The sequence below is a fragment of the Homo sapiens genome, chromosome 10 (genome assembly GCF_000001405.40).
Source record: "Homo sapiens chromosome 10, GRCh38.p14 Primary Assembly".
NCBI classification, from domain to species: Eukaryota; Metazoa; Chordata; class Mammalia; order Primates; family Hominidae; genus Homo; species Homo sapiens.
In genome coordinates this window covers 85,638,592-85,657,978 of record NC_000010.11, presented here as the reverse complement: position 1 = coordinate 85,657,978, position 19,387 = coordinate 85,638,592, and the positions used below count along the sequence as shown (strand labels likewise).

Here is a 19,387-nt window from a genome sequence, read left to right as displayed (position 1 = left end):
CAAATATTTGCGGGTGTTGAGAGCTGAGAGCTAGCCATGTTCTTGGCATGCAGGTCCTGCTGGCTGGCAGGACTCCCATGGAATGGCAGGCACACAGGAGCCAGGGGAGCAGAAAACGGCTGTATCCCAGGAGAATTCTCCCAATTGGTGGATGCTGATTTCCACTGCACCCACAAAGAACCTGGATCATGAAGTTTCAGCACCCTGAGGATGGAGCCCAAAGAACTAGATCTGATTCCCAGACTCCTTGGCAATCTGTTCCTGGGCAGCCTGGACCCACGTAGCTTTGTGCTGTGCCTCCTGGCTCAGGGCCACAGTTCTTTGGTTCAAGCACCTCAAACTATTACTAGGCCTGCTTCTCTGCAGATGATTGACTCACAGTTGTCCTGAAGGGAGACTAGTCAACCCAAGATGAAGACTTTTCCAACAGAATATCAAATCTAGATATTTTTAAAGGCCAACTCATTCATATATGATTCATACATATAACCTATGTTCATTAGAGTGTCTACCATGAGCTGGTCACTATTGTAGGTAGGGGTCATATTATCACAATTTGGCTAGAACTTATCTGGAGTACTGAAAGTCCTGCATCCAGGAAATCTCTAGTTCCCAAGCAAACTGGGGTGATTGGTCACTCAAGTTGTAGGCACTGGTGATACAGCAAAAAAACAAACAGCCAAGTCCTATTCTGGGAGGGGAACTAACATTAAGCAGCCATATATGTCAAGTTGTGATTTTTTTTTGTATTTTTATCATATAATGTAAGGGGTGCTGTGTTTTGTAAAAGATTGTCAGCAAAGGCGTCCTGGAGAAGGTAACATTTGATTCGACCTAGACACTGAAAGAGTGAGCCAATTACAAATCTGAGGGAAGAGTAAACCAGGATAAGGTTAAGAAACAACCACAGAAACCCCAAGGTGGGAGGGCAGGGAGGCTGGTACGGCGAGAGCAGATGTATTGGGGTCCAGATAACATAGGACCTTTCAGGCCATGTGAGGACTTTGGATGCACACTTTGACTTTGGAGTCAAGAAGTCATTGGAGGGCTTTGAATGATGAGGTGACATGATCTGGCACAGATTTTTAAAGGATCACTCTGCTTGGCCTTCCTAGGGAATAGCTGTAGGGGTTAAAGGTGGAAGCAAGGAGATTCTTAGAGAGACTATCTCAATGTCCAGATAAGATGCAGAGTGAAGGTCATGATAAGTGATCTGATTCTAGATGTATCTTGATAGAAGAGATAGGAAATGCTGAAATTTGTATGTGCGATACATAAGAAAGAGAAGGGTCAGTAGTGATTTCAAGGCTCTTGGCTACAGCATCTCAAAGAATAGAGCAGTGTTTGATTGACATGGGAGAACTAGAGGAAGAGCAGGCATGGTTTAGGGGTTAGTGATTTAAGAGCTCAAGTTTGAGCATGTTTAGTGTGAAGATCTATTAGCCATCCAAATGAAGTGGTCAGACGGGTGATTGCCAGGAGTGGATGAGGTAGGTCAGGGCTGGTGTGTCCCACTACAGTCATCAATGTATAGATGCATCTACAGACAACTGACATGATGAGATTGTGGCAAAAGTCCTGCAACCCAGGGATCAGTGGTCTGACCCCTGGAAGATTCCAAAATTCAGAGTCTGAGAACAGAAAGAAGAATTAGGAAATGGATAAGGAGGTCCTCCAAGGTGGGAGGAGGACTGAGCAAGAGTGATTTCTGGAAGCCAAATGAAGGAAGGGCATCTAGGAGAGTGCTACCTGTCAAATGCTACTGGTTGGAGGGATGTGAAGACTGAGAATTGGCCACTGTATTTGGGAGATCATTAATGACCTTGATGAAAGTTGTTTCAGATCAGCAGAGGGATGAAAACTGGAGTAAGCCAGGTTCCTGAGAAACGGGAAGAGGGTAATGGAGGCAGTAATCATAGATAACTCTCCGGAAGAAGAGCTGGAAGGGTGGTTGGAGGAGGATGTCATCTCACAGGACTTTTTTTTTTTTTGAGAGAGAGAAGATGTATGTATGTATTTTCAAGCCAATGGAAATGATCTGCAGAGAGAAATAATTTCATGGTGAGGAAGGTAGAGGTGACAACTGGAAGAGCAATGTACTTTGAGAAGGCAAGAATGTCTGGGATCTAGGAGACAAACAGAGTTAGACATGCATAGGAGTAAAAACAAAGCTGTCATTTTAAAAGGATGGAAGGCAACTATTCACTAGTTTTCGAGAAGGGAGTTCTCTAGAAAAGCAAAGTTCTCCACTGATGGCTTCTCCCTTCTTAGGAAAAAAGAAGCAGCCTCATTGTCTGAGAGTCATCTGAGAGCGTGGGAGGAGGAAGTGCACAGGGAGATTTAGAAGATCTCAAGCAGCTTTAAGGGTCTCCTGGAGGCTAGTGGTCATGATTCTAAAGTTAGAATCACCATGCTGGTGTTTAGCTTGGATCTTCTCCCAGCCATATTCAGCCATTCAGTTCTAAACACAAAATTGTTTTGAAACAGAGTTCATTCTTCCAGAAAACATGAACTCAGCTCCTAATGTCTGTCAGACTGTATGTGGGGTGATAGAAATTCAGAGATGGACACAGAGTCCATTCCCTGGGGGAGCTCAAGGTTGAGGTGGGCAGACAGCACAGGAAGCTTAAAAGGGAAAACATTAGGATAGGACCAAGCCCAGAACACACAGGGACTTGGATCCAGTGGGCATGGATCCACTCTTTCAATACGACATGACAGCTGAGCTGATTCCTTCAGGGTGGGTAGGTTTTAGTCAGGGCACAGCAGAGAAGGCAGGCAATGAACCTGAGTGAAGACTTGGAGGCCTGAGTGTGCAAGAGGTCTTCCAGGCTGGCACACCAAAAGCAGGGTAGCCAAGAAGAGCTGGAGGAGGCAGCACTGAAGCACTGAAGGCTCTACACTAAGCCTCCTTTGCTGGGGGAAATAGAAGCCCCAGAACTAACCTAGTGAATAGTGTGGACATTGAGCTCCTGACTTGGCTTAGCACCTGGCCCACAGTTATTTGACCTCATCAGGATGATTTTCACAGCTCCTATTACTGAGCTCTACTTACATACAGGATCTAGGCTGAGTTTGGCAAATCAGAAACACATATAACATATGCCTATGTTTAGGAATTCACAGTCTGATTTGGGACCAGGGCACCAGGCCTGGGTTGAATCCAGGCAGAAGGTGCAGAAGTGAGGAAACTCCAGCCTGCCTTGGTGTGGGAGCCTCAGTACTGATGGGCCCTGAGTGCCTGGGATGGCCTCGGACCACTTTGAATTAGTCTCACATGTTTGTCTTGCTGTAGGGACTGAAGATACAACTATCACAGCCTCCTCATGGCTGGTGGACAGGGTGTTTGATAGGGCTGGTAGAGAGACCTCCTGCCTCTCAATGGATCTTGGCTGATGGGAGGCTAACCCAGGAGGAAGGGTGGACATAGAGGATAGAAGAGAGCACAGAGCTCAGTTCCCAAGGCCCAGAACTGATGCTTGGGCAGCAGCAGGATATTTAAAATCGTTCAGATCACATTTTTTATTTATAACGTAATAAAAATGCAAATTTTACAAAAATGTGTTTGTAAGAAGTGGAAGTCTTGCAGGCATTCACTGCTTATCCCTTTTACTTTTGTTTTTATATTTATTTACATTTATTAATTGTTACTTTTTACAAGTATGTAAATATATACAAATGCTTTGAGTTTTTAGCAGTTTATTTTGGGTGTCTTTTAATTTCAATAGCAATTGAAGAAGTGGGATTTGGAGAGAAAACGCCATGGAGGGAAGGAAGGTGAGGAGGGAGGACACCTCAGCTGGCCCTCCGAGGCTGGCTTTCAGGCATAGGTTTGAAGAAGGGCTCTGTGACCTATGGAAGCGTGCATTTTCCTGCTGTGGGCTCTGCAACCCTCACCCTGTGGGTCACTAAGTGTCCTCATACAGTGTTTGGATCTGCAGTCCCTCTGCTCACTACTCAGAATCACACCGACTAGGCTTTGGATACAAAGGAGAACTGTTTTCTTAGTCTTTTTTTTCTTGCTTATAACAGAATACCTTAAACTGGGTAGTTTATTTTTTTTAAAAAGGGCATTTATTTCTTACAGTTCTGGAGGCTGAGAAGTCCAAGGTCTAGCAGCTGCATTTGGTGTGCACCTTCTCCCTTCAGTGTCATGTGGTGGTGCAGCGCATCACACGGACGGGGGCCCAAGCCTACTCGCATCCCAGCTAAAGCCTCTCTTCTTCTCCTTATAAAAATACCATCTCCCCTCCCATGATGACTGATTAGTCCATGATTGGGTTAATCCATTCATCAAGACAGAGTCTTCATGATCCAATCACCTTTTAAAGGTCCCACCTCTCAATACTGCCACATTGGGTATTAAGTTTCAATATGAGTTTTGGCGGAGACAGTATTCTAACCACAGCTCCTGTGTACACCCCAGCATCCCCTTTCCTAGGCTTCCTGGAAGGTCCCCAGGTAAATGTTGCAAGGTAGGAGAGGCTCATAAGCTGGCTCCTTGGCCACCCTGTCTCAGCTCCTTGGCAGGACAGCCCCAGCAGGCCTCAGCCCCATCCTCTGCGAGTTCATTCCTCTCTGCTCCTCTTAGTCCAGTGCGAGGACATACTAGAGAAACACATGCCCTAGATGTCAACTCCAATGGCTCAAAATCCACCCTGGCTACTTTATGTAATCAATGCCTCCATCATTTTGGCTCACCCTTGCTCTGCTTTATTAATCTTCATAGCATTTTTCATCACTTGTTACATAGCAGCAGGGGTCAGCTGACGATGCCCCACAGGCCTTCAGAGGGCCTGCAGCCTGCTTTGTCACAGCCTGCAAGTCAAGACTGCTTTTCCTTTTTAAAAACATTTTAAAGCGTTGGAAAACAAAACAAAAACAAAAGCAAAGAATATGTGACTGAGTCTTGTGTGGCCCTCAGAGACCACATAGGCACTATCTGTCCCTTTCCAGAAAGTTTGCTGACCCTGGCATTACCTAGTTATTGTATTGTTGCTGTTGTCATTGATGTTTGTTTCTTTGTCTCATCTCAACTATGTAAAATCCACAAAAGTAGGAACTTTGTGCCATTCTTGCCCTATCCCCAGACATAGAGCACTGTCTAATGCAGACAGATGCACAGGAAATAGGGTTTTTTGAATGACGAGTGAATGAAAGAAGGAAGACACCTAGGAAGCCTTCCCCTGCATGGGTGACAGATTAGAGAGGCTGGGGGGCGCTGGGGAAGAAACCCAGGAGAGGCTTATCAGTGTGCAGCAGGGTGGGTCATGGTGCCCTCTGGAAGCCAGTTGTGGAGCCCTATCCAGGCACTCCAGATTGCTTTGATGATTGCAGCATCATCTCTTGTAGAGCCAAACATGAGATAGAAAATCAAGACTGCTGGAATGATAGTAAAGGCATCTGTAGGCTGTAGCTATGAAAGTTTCAAGTCACCAGGATGGATATCCCCACCCTCCCGTGTCTTTTGAGCCACTCCACCACATTCTCTTCTCCTTAAGGAAGAATAATAGGACTTCCAGATCCACATGTATCAGGCCCATGCTTATGACATCCCCACCGTTGTTGAAATCCGTTTTACGTATACTGAATATTGATTCTGCTCTTGTTACAAGTGTTTATCTCCATTGCCAATGTAAATATTTTTGTAACATGCAAAGATGTATTTATAAATTCTGTATTATTGATTTTTCTCATACTGCAAACACATTTATCTCTTTGTTAATGAACATATATCTAGGAAATAGTAAGATTGATTTACGGAGAAAGGTGTGGGGAGGACAGGAGGTGGTACCAAGCTGGGGAGAATATCCTCGGCCACAGCTGAAGGATGCATGGTGGGTCTTCCCTAGAGGTGCATGTTTAATTAGAGGACAGTGTTCTCAGAGGCAAGGGATGCTTACAAAGTCCTTTTGCAAGACAATCTGATGTGCTCAAAGGTATCAGCTATGCTTTCAGCATGTGGAAATTTCAAAAATCGGTAATCCAGGTCAGGAGATACAGAGAAACAGCTTGCATTGGTCCCAAATCCACTTTTGGTAGGACACACTTGAGTAGAAGATATTGGTTTAAACGTAAGATTGGAGGAGAGGGTAGGCTTTGTCAGGGGAGGATTCCAACACAAAATATTATCAAAAGTTGAAGTAAGAAGATAGGCAGCAAACAGAAGTGAGGCTCAAGTGATACACATGCTTGCACCATGACATTTCATGAGCCAGTGCAGACTCTGGCAGGCAGCCTGGGGCTGATGCTTTTGAGGCCGTTCTTCCTGAGCAGTTCCTTGCCTAGGAGTTCATTACTTTCCCAGGGTAGCCTCTGCTAGGCTGTTACTATGACGACCCACAAAGCAAAAGTCCAGATTGCCTGCCAGAGGAGTTTTGGTGTCTCTATGCTCATCCTGGGTTCAGACTTCTGCAAGTCATCCTTTTAGGTATCCTGAGTGCCTAAAGTGTGTTGTTGACAAGGCAGTAGACTGGGGGCTGATGGGGGAGCATTTGCATGTACCTTGGCAGCAAGATGGAAACAAGATGGGCCATAGGCTTCTCACTGGGGAGACAGATGGGCAGTTGAGGAGATAGGCTCCAATCACATGAGCCTGGAAGCTTAGACATGCGGCTTGCCCATGCTTGCTTCCATCTGGGTGTGACTACTCTGGCCTGTTACCCATGACTCCTTCACATGAGCACAGTGTTCCAACCATTTGAACTACTGATAAGCAGTCTACTAGAAGGGCTAGCATTTATTAAACATTAACTGTGTACCAGGTATATGTCTGTGATCATTAATCTTCAACAACCCTGTGAGTTGGGTATGAGTTATGAAATCTAAGGCTTCAGAGATTATAGAACTTGCCCCAGTCCATGGTTCTGGAGCTTGCATGCATCAGAATCACCTGGAGGGTTGTGGAAACATAGACTGCTGAGCACCACCTTCAGAGTTTCTGACTCAGTATGTCTGGAGTGGGGCCCAAGGATTTGCATTTCTCATAAGGCCCCAGGTGCTACTGACACTGCAGCTCTGAGGATCACACTTTGAGAGCTACTGGTCTATGTCAAACAGTGAAGGCATTCAAAGCAGCATCCACACCCAGGACTGTCAAATTCCATCACCTACATATTTTTGGCTGATGTGAATTGCTCCCTGGTATGTGTCCAGAATAAGCCATGTGTTTTCATTACCCAAATGCCTTCTCAGGTAATATCTTCTCTTCCAGGAACATTCTACCCCTTGGTTCTCCATCTCGCTGCCTCTACTCACCCTTTCTGACTCAGCTTAATGTTCCCTCTTCTAGGAAGCATTTCTTTAGCTCCTACCCATGGGTTAGCTACTTCTCTGTGCTTCTGGGATCCCCCATACAGACCTGTATTTTAATATATCTCATATTGTTTGGTCACTGTTGCTTTACTTCTCTGATCACTCGCCCCTTGATGATGCCTGCCATGTATTCCTTGCTTGGTGTGCACTGTGCCTTACCTAGTAGACATTCAGGAACTGTTGGTGAAATAACTGGTTGAATGACATCAGCAAGTTGCATCGTGCATGTGAGGTTAATAGAGACCACACCTGTGATAGGCACGTCTCCTTCATCTCTCTGTGGTGGGGGTACCTGGACACTTTGTAGCAGTTGTTGCTGAAGAGACTGACTTCAGAAAAGTTCTAAATTGAGTGTGCTGATAACACAGCCTCCTCCTGGTGAAGCCTCCCTCACTTGCTAGAATGGGCGTCCTATCTGACTTCAACATCTGTCTTCCACTGACTACCACTGTTGGCTTGGCAGTCTGGATGCCTGGCTGTCCCCATTCTCCTTTATTCCTCCCTGTGTGTCCCCTCCAAAACTGGGTGCTGTGACAAGAGGATGACTTCCTCAGGGAGATGATGGCTTTGGTGGATGAATAGTTGGGCCCTTGTGTTCAACACCCCAGATAGCCTTCCATAAGTTTATTCACCCTGGAATAAGATGGTAGTGCCCCCTGTGCTGGGCATTAGTGAGCCTGGAAACCTTTGTTGAAAGATCGAGTGCATGTCTGAGATGGGAGAGATTCCTCTGCACAAATTTGTGGCTATTAGAGGTGATGGATGGATGAAAGCTGTGGCCGTGGGTCTGAGCAGTAAGATTCAAAGAAGATGGGGGTGGCATTTTGGGGTGGGAACAGTGAGGTCTACTAAAACAGAAATGAACATGAAGCCATAAACATTTGGGCTGCCTGCTTGTTAACCAGAGACGTTCCCTGAGCCTCTGGCCGTGGGCGCCTTAATGAATAATACCAAGTGGAGAGAGAAAATCTCCATTTCAAATGTGGGGATGAAACAGTGTTTGGAGATCCCTGGCAGTTACCCATTCATTCCACACTCATGAAAACTGCAGCAATTTAGAGCAGCTCAGTATTTAGACTCAACTGTATAATTTATCCTGATGTTTCTCATTCATCAAAGCCTCGTGTTTGTTTGTATTACCATGAGAAAAAATTTTAAAAATGTGGAAAAAAAAAAAGATCCCCCTCCTTTCATTACAGGCAAATTACGGCAGAGTTACAACCCTTGGGGCCCTTCAGGCAAAGGAACATCTTGCTTCAATTAGATATAAATAATGAACAATAATTAGAAAGATTTCTTCATCGAATTTGTTATTTTATGTTTCCTTTCATCTGTAATGTATTGAAACGAATACTGAGCTCTGTTTCTGGGCCACATAGCAGGGACCTAAGGAGTGCTGTGGCATGTGTCTCCGAAGCAAGGGGAGGCATCCACAGCTGGGCCTTCTGTGTGCTGGCCGGGGAGGCTGCTGTCAGCGTTGGTCCAGGGCAGTGGATGCAAAAATGGGGCTCCTTCAGCTCCATTCCTCCAAATTCTTATAGTCTACTGGGGACCCAGAATAATCACTACTGGTTACCATCAGGAACTGCTCTGAGAGCTGAACACAAATCCCATTTAATCCTCATAGCAATCCTCTGCTACAGGCTCTGCTTCTATCTCCATTATTAAAATATTTGGAAACTGAGGCACGGATAAGTTAACTAACTTTTCTGGACCACAGTGTTGGTTGTGGGGGACAGACAGGCAAGGTAGGCAATTGGACTCCAGAGCCCTTGCTTGTCTCTGCTCTGGCACATGGCCCTCTGAAGTCCCGGTGAGCTCATGCTGCCATAGAAGCCCACAAGGTGTGGAGAGGGCACAGGGAGGCTGGGGTGCGGATGGCTCCCCAAGGAAAGAGGCAGCTGTTGGCTGTTGGATTTTCAACGGGCTTGTAGAGGTGTTGTTAGAGGAGGGAGATAAAGGGATTCCAGGCAGAGGGAGCACTGTGGCCTGGTGCCATGGATGGGGAGTGTGTGGGATTTCTCATTTCAAGGTTGGCTATGGTTCTGTGTGCAGGTGGGGAGAACAGCCAGAGATGAGACCGGAAGATGGAGGGTTGTGTAGATCCAGTTGAGAAGACTGGCTCTTCCTGTGGAAATGGTGACTCAGAGAGAGGGAGGGATGATGATGTGGGTTGTTAAAGAGGAGAGACTGAGATTTCTAGAAGAGAAATAAGTAAAGAGTGATCAAGTTGGAACCTGGAGAGAGAGGCTGGCTCCCCACTGGGCTTTTTTTATTTTGCAATTCTGTTTGGTACATGACGTTCTGTCAACACGCTGAGCCAAGTACGCTCTTCTGAGGCAAGTAAAATCTTCATAGCGACTGGTCCTTCCTGCTGTGACTATTTGTCCTTCCCCAGAGGAGTCTCCTCCTCTGCCCCTAGCTCAGAAGTCTGCTCTTGGGCTGCTGATGGCCGTTCCTTGTGAAATCCCCCCTCAAATGTGCACCTGGCTGGAGCCACCTGCCACTCCTCTAAGGAGAGCAAACCCAAGGCCCTCAGAAGTGCTTTGTTTTTTTCATCATCTTTTAAATAATTATCAACATTTTAAAATCAGGAGAGATATAAAAATCCAATTTTTTTATTTTTTCAAAGACCAAATTGGTTGAGGAGGTCATGGGGAGGGGAGCATTCGAAGTCAATACTTGGCTAGACCCCAGCACAGCTGCAAGCTTTGGAGGGGATGCCTCTTAATTTACCCTGAGTCAGTTGGTCTCTGAGTGCGTTTCTTCCTCATGCTGTCTCTGAGTGTCACAGGCCAGCCATCATTATCGTTCATCTTGCCAACATAGGCCTCTTTCCTGCCCAGCCTCTGCAGGCGTCTGAGTTGGAGATCCGCAGCATACAGCCTCCCATGTTGCCCTGACTCTTTGATACTATGATTCTCTGTCTATATGTTTGCTTCTATAGCTGGACTATAAACTCCTTGAAGGCAGGAATCATGTCTTACTCATCCTTTTATCCCTCCAGTTCAGTAAAGAACCTGGTTTTAGGTGCCCAGTCATCTTATTGAATTAATCTGCACTGAGAAAACACACCTGTAATTGAATGAGGCGCTGCAAGTCCCACTCTGGGCTGAAGGACTTGAACTTTGGGGGATGGGGAATGAAGAATGTGGATAGTGGGCCATGCCGGGCTTGGAGTTCAGAAGGGCCTTGCAGCCCATTTGTATCCTTGCAGTGTGCAATGCACAGCATGTACTCATGCCTCGCTGCCTTTCTGCATTTCAGGACTTTCCAGGACCTGTCCAAACAAGTGGAAATGTCTTATGGCACTGTCCGGGATTCTGCTGTATATGAGTACTTCCGAGCCAAGGGCACCAACCCCCTGGAGCAGGACAGCACGTTTGCTGAACTCTGGCGGACCATCAGCAAGAACGGAGGGGCTGACAACTGCGTGTCCAGTCCTTCAGAAGGCATCAGGAAGGTAGGCAGGAGCTGGCGCTTGGGCACGTGCACTGTAACAGGGCCACGGGGTGGTCAGCCCCCAGGTGGGAGACACCTCCAGGGGCATCTGCCTCTGAGCAGCCCTGTTACCTGCAAGGCGATCCATCGCACACGTTCTTTAGGTGGATGCCCTTTCAGAAGCAGCTGCTCTGCTTCTTATGGACCTTCCAACTTTGTAGAGTGGTGCTGGCTGGGGAGGAGCAGGCAGATTAAGCCTGACTTTTGGCCCACCCTCCTCATGGGCTCATAGGAGGGTGACACAGAGAGGCCTGTCCACCCGAGGTGAGAACAATTGGCAAAAGCAGTAGCAGAGTGCCAAGCGAGAGTTGCAGGAGTGAAGGGAGGGTGTTGGGGAGAGGGTGGGCCCACTGTGGTTAGCTTGGGGGTCTGGTTGAGGAAGTCTGCATACGGGGAAAGGGGGTAAGGGTCAGCCAGGTGGCCTGGACTCATCTCTGGGGCCGTACTGTGAGAAGAGTTGTACCTCAGAGATGGGGATAAGGGCAGAGAGCCTTACCGGGCAAAGCCTTAGGAGGCCAGATGGGAAGATACCAGTGCCAGAGGGAGGAAGGGAGGAGAAAGGCCATGATGCTCTTCAGCACTGTTAGATGTTGCTCATTTGTTTCAGTCAATTTCCCACAATGACTCGAATTCAGCATTATCCTCTTATACAGCTGAGGATCGGGTGGCTCTGACTCATGACTCCTTGGGTTACAAGCTGGGGAACTGGCATTTATCCAACACGTGCAGCTGTAGAGCCCTTGGAGGTCAATGAAGAAGAATGTGGTGGGATGAAGGCAGGTGTTATGATTTTGCTGCTGGTGGTGGGGTCCTCCTGTCCAGTGAACCCCACATGCAATGGCTACTGTCCTGAGGTCATTAGAGAATGGGGCGAGAGACATGTACAGCCCCCTGGCCAGGACCGCTGCCTCTCTGAGCAGACTGGCTGCCTCAGTGTCTCCTCCCATCCTTTCCCTCCCAGACCCATCCTGCCACCTCTGTGGAGTCTCCTCATGCATACCCTCACAGGCACACTAACACCTTGCCACACACACACACACACACACACACACTCATCCCTGTGCTGCCCCCCCAGCCACTCCAGTGACTTCTTGGCCTTCCTGCAGAGAGCAGTGGATGTCAGGACAGCCTGGGGCAAGCTCTGGGGCCAGTAAAGCCCACCGCCCTGCCCTTCATGGTCCTCAGCAATCTGCCAGCCCCTCCCTGATGTGCCCCAGAGGGGTCAAGGGAGAGAGGCCTGAGTCCCCCTTTGCTTTGGAAACACATGGGCATCAGGCAGAGTGCAGCCTCTATCCCATGACAGGCTGGGGCACCTAGCTGTGGTGCCATGTAGAGTGAGGCCCACTGGGAAGATGGTCGTGCACAGGATGACTTGTACAGGATCCCATGCTCAGGATGATTTTTCATTGCCATTTAGCCACATTGAACAGCAGAAGATGTCTAGGCTCTGGAGCTTGACATATTTAGGTGTGAATTCCAGTTTCGTAAGTTACCAACATTGTGAAATGGAGCACACCATTCTCCTTGTTTGGGAACTCTTGGATTTGAGAAAGACCTGGGCAACTTTCCATTTGGTGGTCTCCTTAGAGACTTAAATGATCTGAAAATACATATCATGATAAATTTTGAATGTTTAGATTTAACAAAGTGATACTTTGACAATAACAATAGAATGCAGTGTAACTGTGCTATTCTCATGCTTACAAGATTTATTAAAACCTCGTAGTTCTCACTGCACTGCAAAGGATGATGCTCTAGCCTTAAGCTGCAGGATCTTCTTTCACCCCTGACAGTGAATCTTTGTGGCTGTAGGTGACCTCATTTGAAGATAATGAACACAATGTTGATTTAAGGCCTTTTGTGCATGTGAGGCCTGGGCCAAATGGCCTTCGCGTTCCCTTTCCTGGCTTTCTTTGACTCTCAGAGAGAGCCAATACTGTCATCCACACAGGGTCTTAAGAAGATTCATTGCATAATGCTAAAAAAAAAAGCACTGCTTAGAAAAAAAAAAGATAGCTACTTTTGACTTTGTTAAAGTTCTATTCATTACAAGCCACTTTAAATAAAATAGAAAGGTAGGTCACACACTGGGAGGGGATGTTTACAATACATATAACCAATGCAAGATTACTGTCAAGAATATATTAATAAGAAAAGCTCAAACAACTTAATAGAAAACTGGCAAGAGGCTTGCACAGGCCTTCCACAGAAGAGGCAACACAAATGGCCAGTAATCAAATGAAGAGATGTTCAAAATTATTAGTGATCTGTGAAATACAAATCAGGACCATAAAGATTATATCATTTTACACCAATTAGTTTGGCACAAAATGAGAGGCGGTGAAGAAGACGTGGAGTAACAGTTGGTTAATTGCTGATGGGGGTGTGCTCAGTACAATCACTTTGGAGAAGAGCTTAGCATTCTCTTATAAAATGGGACACTTACATACTGTATGGCCCAGCAATTACACTCCAATGTATCCACCCAAAATAAATGTCCACATGCACTTTTGGAGACAAGAAAGGCCATAGTAGCACTTCCTGTAGAACCAAAACCCTGGAAACCATCCAAATGACCATTAACAATATAAAGAAAGATGTTGTCTACAATGAAATGGATGAATCTTAGCAGAATAATATTGAGTAAAATAAAACATTAAGGCAATTTCATACGGGTCAACTAATAGAAGGTAACACAGAATATTATACCCTCTTAAAAATGTATAAAATATACACATACACATCCAAAGCAATGATAAAATACAAGATTCACCACAGTGGTTGCTACAGGTGGGAGAGCCAGAGCAGCAGAGAAGAGAGAAGGACATTGTTGGTAAGTCAGAGTTGGTGTTAGGTTTAGATTAGCAGGAGATTTTAGAAAATTAGTTAATGAGTTAATTCAAAAAGTGAGCCATTCCTGGAGAAATGTATGGGTATCCTGAAGCAAAGGTTGTCATTAATCTCATTCTGCTCACCTCCCTACTCTTCCAAATGCGTAAGTCCAGACCAAGCAAGGCAGTGCTGGGCTCCTCACAAGTACCCACCCCTTCCCTCTTTGCAGGCGACATGTGCCTGCTTATGCCTCAGAAAGGCCAACACACACCACTGAGCCCTCTGGTTGGTGATAAACCTGGAGATGAGTCATTAGAGAAACACCTCATCATTGTTCTAGCTACCCCTTGTCCATTGGCGGCACTTAGGAAACCACTCACCGTCTGGTGATATTTAGTCTTACTCATGAATACAACAATGTTAAAAAATCAGTAGCAAACGATGCAAACAAAGGATTTCTTATCAATGCCTATCACTTCATGGTATAGAATTTAATCTTTGTTAGTACATAAGATGGATTAGTTTTATGGTACCTTCATTTTATGAACCCCAAGCTGGCTTTGGGATCACAAATCTCTCTCTTGCATTTGGATCTCTAAGAAAAAAAAAACTGACTGCCAGCACTAGACAAATGTTAAGGGTTTTATAACTAGTGTCATAAAAGTGAGTTTATAGTATTGTCAGACAATGAAGTGTGCTGCATTTTTTTTAGTGGAAGAAAAGCTCAGATTTACTCTCAAATCCTCCTTCTTCGTGTGCCTGTTTGGATGACTACTGGACTTAAATGCTTGTCTGAAATCTGTCTTCTTCCCTACTCCTATGGAGCGGCCCCTCTGCTCCCTGCCCCCAGACTATGGCTTCAGTAACCTTGTGAATCCCTGAGCCCAGAGAGCAGACCAGTCTGGAGATGGCTGTGCCCTAAGTGAGGATGACGACTTGAATCCAGAAACTACAGAACAAATCCAGCAAGTAGGGTATTATGGGCCTAGTATTCAGGGAGGAACAGCCTCTCCAAATCCCAAACAGAGTCTGCTGCCATGCAGTGTAGGCAGCCTGGCAAAGGTGAGGAGAAGCCCACCGAGGGGCTTCTCCTGGAAACTTCTTTAGCAATTGACAGATAATCACACTTCTGATTTTCAGTTGCTCCTTGATGACTCAGCTCCATTTTCAGGGAGTGTTTGGTAGTGGAGCAATGTCTAATTGCTGCAAAAGTCAAGGAGGTTGGTATGGATGGTATGCTGTTATTTTCTCCTTGGGAGTCCTAAGGCTTTTAATGACATGAAACCAATTTAGGTGGGGAATTGTTTAGAGTGATCACTTGTCCACGGTATCAGAACTGGAGAAGGGTTATGTCATGGTTGGCTCGCCTCTGAGATCCACTCCTTCATGCCAATACACATCATTGAGCCTCTGGAGGGTAATAAACCTGGAGATGAGTCATTAGAGAAACACTTCCTTATTTTTCTAGCTACTCCTTGTCCATTGGTGGCACTTAGGAAATCACTAACCCTCTGGAAATAGAGTCTTACTCATGAATACAATAATGTTAAAAAATCAGTAGCAAAAGATGCAAATAAAGGATTTACCATGCCAGTGGCCACTAAGATAAGGACAAGTGAGACCTTGTCAGGCTTTGATGAGGCAAAGATGAAAGAATTTGGAACAGGAGGGAATTTTTATTTATTAAGAGACGACAACACACCATTTTCACAACAAACCTGCCTGGCACCCAGTAAGTCTCAATAAATACAGGATTGTTCCTGAATGAGTCATCTGTTTGCTGTCTGACTGAGCAGAGGCAGATAAATCGGAGACAAGATTCCTGTCATCAGTTAGCAGGTTACCCCCTTTAGATTTCATGGTGGAAGGGACAAGAGAAATAGCTCCAGGGTTCCTGTCAGGCTTGTCTCTTGATAACCTTCTGTAAGGGAGAAGATTTTCCTGGTCCTGAAAGATGTGTCACAAAGAGAGAGGAGAGAGGCTGCTTCCGTTTCTCTCAGCCACATGCACTTATCAGGCCTAAGGAAAGACTAGACCAAGGATTGGCAAACTCTGACTCCTGGTCAAATCTGACCTACAGCTTGTTTTTATAAAGGTTTATTGGACAACAGCCCAACTCATTTATTTACATGCTGTTTATGGCTGCTTTCCTGCTATTTCAGCAGAGTTGAGTAGTTGTGATAAAGATATGTGGCCCACAAAGCCTAAAATATCTATTATCTGGCCCTTTATAGAAAAAGTTTGAGGACTCCTGGTCTGGACAGGGGCAACCCAGGGACATTGCCTGTAGCTGTGCATCATCTCATAGCACACAGGCACCATTAGTAGGGAGCATATCCTCTAACTCTATATAATCAAATAGTGCACAGGCATCTCTGCTAAGAAGCTCCTGCTGCAGCTCTGCACCATTTAACAGCTCATAGGTGCCTCTAGTAGTGCATCATCCAGCTCTGCACCGTTGAATAGCATCCGGGCTCTGCCCCTTTTTGTCCTCTAGGTCTGTCTCTGGTGGCCTGGAAACTTCTCCCTCACTGCGCTGAGACCCAGCTTTACTGCTGGTCTGGCCTGGCCTCCCTCTGAAATCTATTGAGCAATCTCTACATCCCAGGCACTGGGCCAGATCATTTACATGCATTCATACTTTCATCTGAAACCGACTACTTGATTATTATCTCCAAGATGTAGAAACTGGACCTGAGCCTCAGAGAAACTAAGTGACTTGGCTAAGGTTCACACAGATGTGAGTAATTAGTGGCATGGTCACCAAAACCTCATTCCACTCGTGCCTCTTCCCATGGGGTGGTAATCTCGTCTTTTCTACACCTCAATGTGTTTCCACCCCCTTGTGTACATTTTGCTTGTGCCTCTATTTCCTTCCCTCTCTGACACCAAAGTGGCAAGATATATGCCTGACTTCCATGTTTAGCAGCCATACTGCTCCTTCCATGTGTCATAGCAAAGGTTATTGAAGTCTGTGACTTTATCTTTTGATTTTCAAACTATTAAAATATCCATTACAGAAACTTGGAGATGCAGAATTGGCCTGGCAAATGGTTCAAATTTATATGATAATAACTTCATCACATGAAGTCAGACTTTAATATTGCTGATGGGATTTTTTTTCTTTAGCTTGATCAACTTCATCAAGCAACATCCAGCATAACCCAATTTCTGCCCAGTGCCAGGGCTGACCTGGATCACCAGTTGATTAAGCCTTTCCATAAATCAGACCTAATATTTAATAACACTGTCAAGTAGAATATAGCGTTAATAGTTTAAATGTCAATCTTCACAGCTTATTCAGTCCTTTGAATAAATAGATGAGTAGCTTGTTTCAGACCCTGTGGCTGGAGATAGTATTTTTCAGAGGGAAGTATCTTTTTAGGCCAGCATTTGGTGGTAACAAAAGGTGGTGTTTTTCTGTCAGTAAATATAGCTGAAGTCATAAAGTGTGAATGCAAATGCAGGAAGAAAATGGGCCCGCAAATCTTATTTCCACTCCTGGTCTAATGCTTGCTCTTGCACTAGATTGCATGTGGGCATCACCTCTTAGCACCAACATTTATTCGCTTTCTCTTCCTTTCTGCTCTGTAACAGGGTTGCTCTCATTGCACACAATCTCTGCTTAGTGTCAGGGACTACACCTGTGGCAGAGAAGCTGATCCCTAGAAGGATGGCAGTCTTCCACAGTAGGATCAGGAACTTTGGCACCCAGATAACCCTTCATTTGGAAAGGGCAAGGTGAGGAAGTTGGCCTCATATGTGGCAGCTCCTGGTTCCATGGCATGCTGGAAATTCCTACTGAGAAGTAGGGCGAGGCTTATATGGGTGGGCACTTCTGTGCACTTTTGGGATGCTAGATTCAAAGATCAAGAGAGTTTGACCAAGATATGGAAGGGGATGTAGACTAGATAGCCCTGTGTAGTGCAAAGCAAAAATACTGCTCTCTATAACAGCAAGAGCCCTTGTAGCCATGATCCAAGAAATTCTGTTCTTTCTCTGCTTCCACGTGAGTATGGATTGGGGATTTTGTAAGCCTCCTTCCCTCTCAGCCACTCACATTGGATAATCATTCATCTCTATATCTTTTGTACCTGCTCAAAAGACCCTATATCTATTTTGCAACTTGGATGCTATCTTCTCTTTATTCATTCATTTATGAACTTACTCATCCATTCAAGAAATGTAGTTTGAGTAGCATCTTCCTTTTAGGAGTTAGAAAATGTGTGTTTAAATGTTATGCTCCATCTAGTCTGTGGCTTTGAACAAGTGTTCACCTTTCTGTACCATCTGTGATACTTGCGGAAGGTCTGTCCAGATTAGTTGCAAGTATACCAATGTATAGGGTCTAAAGCATCCAGTGTCGATTGTAGCACAAGGTATATGTTCAGCAGGCATCAGCAAACTATCTTAGCATCTACTATATGTTAGAAAAAGATTTTATTTATTTATTTATTTCTGAAATGGAGTTTTGCTCTTGTTGCTCAGGCTGGAGTGCAATGGTGATCTCAGCTCACCGCAACCTCCGCCTCCCAGGTTCAAGCGATTCTCCTGCCTCAGCCTCCCAAGTAGCGGGGATTACAGGCATGTGCCACCATGCCCAGCTAATTTTGTATTTTTAGTAGAGATGGAGTTTCTCCATGTTGGCCAGGCTGGTCTCAAACTCCCGACCTCAGGTGATCTGCCTGCCTCGGCCTCCCAAAGTGCTGGGATTACAGGCGTGAGCCACCGTGAAAAAGATTTTTTAAAAAGGCAACAGCCTTTAGTCTTTTATGAAGTGTAATTGAAATACACATATAGTGTCTATTTCATGAGTTTAGACAATTTATGCAATTCTGTAATAATCACCCAAAACAAGATACCTATTTCCATTACCTGCAAAACTTTTCTTTTGTCACTTTTTACACTTCTCCTCATCTGCAGAGACAACCGCTTGCAGATTTCTAGCACCACACATTAAATTTACCTGCTCTTGTAGTTAATATAAATGGAATCATACAGAATATATGTATTTGTGTTTCATTCTTTCACCCAACAAAATGTATATGAGATTTACTCATGGAGTTGTGCATATCAGTACTTCTTTTTTTGTGTGTGTGGGAATGATATTCTATTGTATGAATAAACCTTGATTTGTTTATTTATTCTCCAATTAACATATATTGTAGTTGTTGCCAATTCAGGGCTACCATAAATATGACAATATGAACAATATTATACAAGTACTTTGTTGAAATATGTCTCCATTTTTCTTTGCTAAATTTGAAAGGGTGAAATTCCTGGGTCATTATGAAACTGTCTAACTACCTCCTATGTGGTTATGCTACTTTGCATCACCTCTGGTAATATACTCCTTATATACTTGTAAGTCTCAGTTGCTGAATGTCCTATCCTGCATTAGTGTTGCCAGTATTTTTGGTTGCAGCCAATTTAGTGGGTATGAACAGAAATCTGATTATTATTTTAATTTGCTTCTCTTTGGGGACTAGTGATGCTGAGCATTTTTTCATGTGCTTATTGGCCATCCATGTATCTTCTTTCATAAAATGTGTGCTTAAGTCTTTTGTTAATATTTATTGAGTTTTCCATCTTCTCATTGCTGATTTATATTCATTAATTTATGTATTCTGGATAGAAGTCCTTGATCAAATATAAGTACTATAAATATAATTCTTAGTCTGTAACTTGCCTATTCATTTTATTCTATTGACCTATCACCATTATTAAAATAATTTGTATT

At 44.8% G+C, this 19,387-nt stretch overlaps 1 protein-coding gene, 1 long non-coding RNA gene and 1 pseudogene across 5 annotated transcripts in view; 2 read left to right on the top strand and 1 right to left on the bottom strand.

The window, feature by feature from the left end:
* GRID1 (glutamate ionotropic receptor delta type subunit 1) overlaps positions 1 to 19,387 on the top strand; it is a 767,244-nt gene that overhangs the window by 708,817 nt on the left and 39,040 nt on the right. For all 3 annotated transcript variants that reach the window (NM_017551.3, XM_047425122.1, XM_047425123.1), the window contains one exon: positions 10,582 to 10,777. In NM_017551.3, the coding sequence (NP_060021.1) occupies positions 10,582 to 10,777 (196 nt within the window). The remainder of the gene's footprint in view (positions 1 to 10,581; positions 10,778 to 19,387) is intronic.
* Positions 7,719 to 7,967, top strand: RN7SKP238 (RN7SK pseudogene 238; annotated as a pseudogene).
* GRID1-AS2 (GRID1 antisense RNA 2) lies at positions 9,897 to 13,914 on the bottom strand. Of its 2 annotated transcripts, NR_199154.1 has the most exons (4): positions 13,791 to 13,914; positions 12,313 to 12,415; positions 11,312 to 11,554; positions 9,897 to 10,987 (listed from the first exon to the last, which is right to left on the bottom strand). It is a non-coding gene; the product is annotated as a GRID1 antisense RNA 2 (long non-coding RNA). The 2 variants fall into 2 exon arrangements; NR_199153.1 differs by having other exon boundaries at positions 9,897 to 12,415.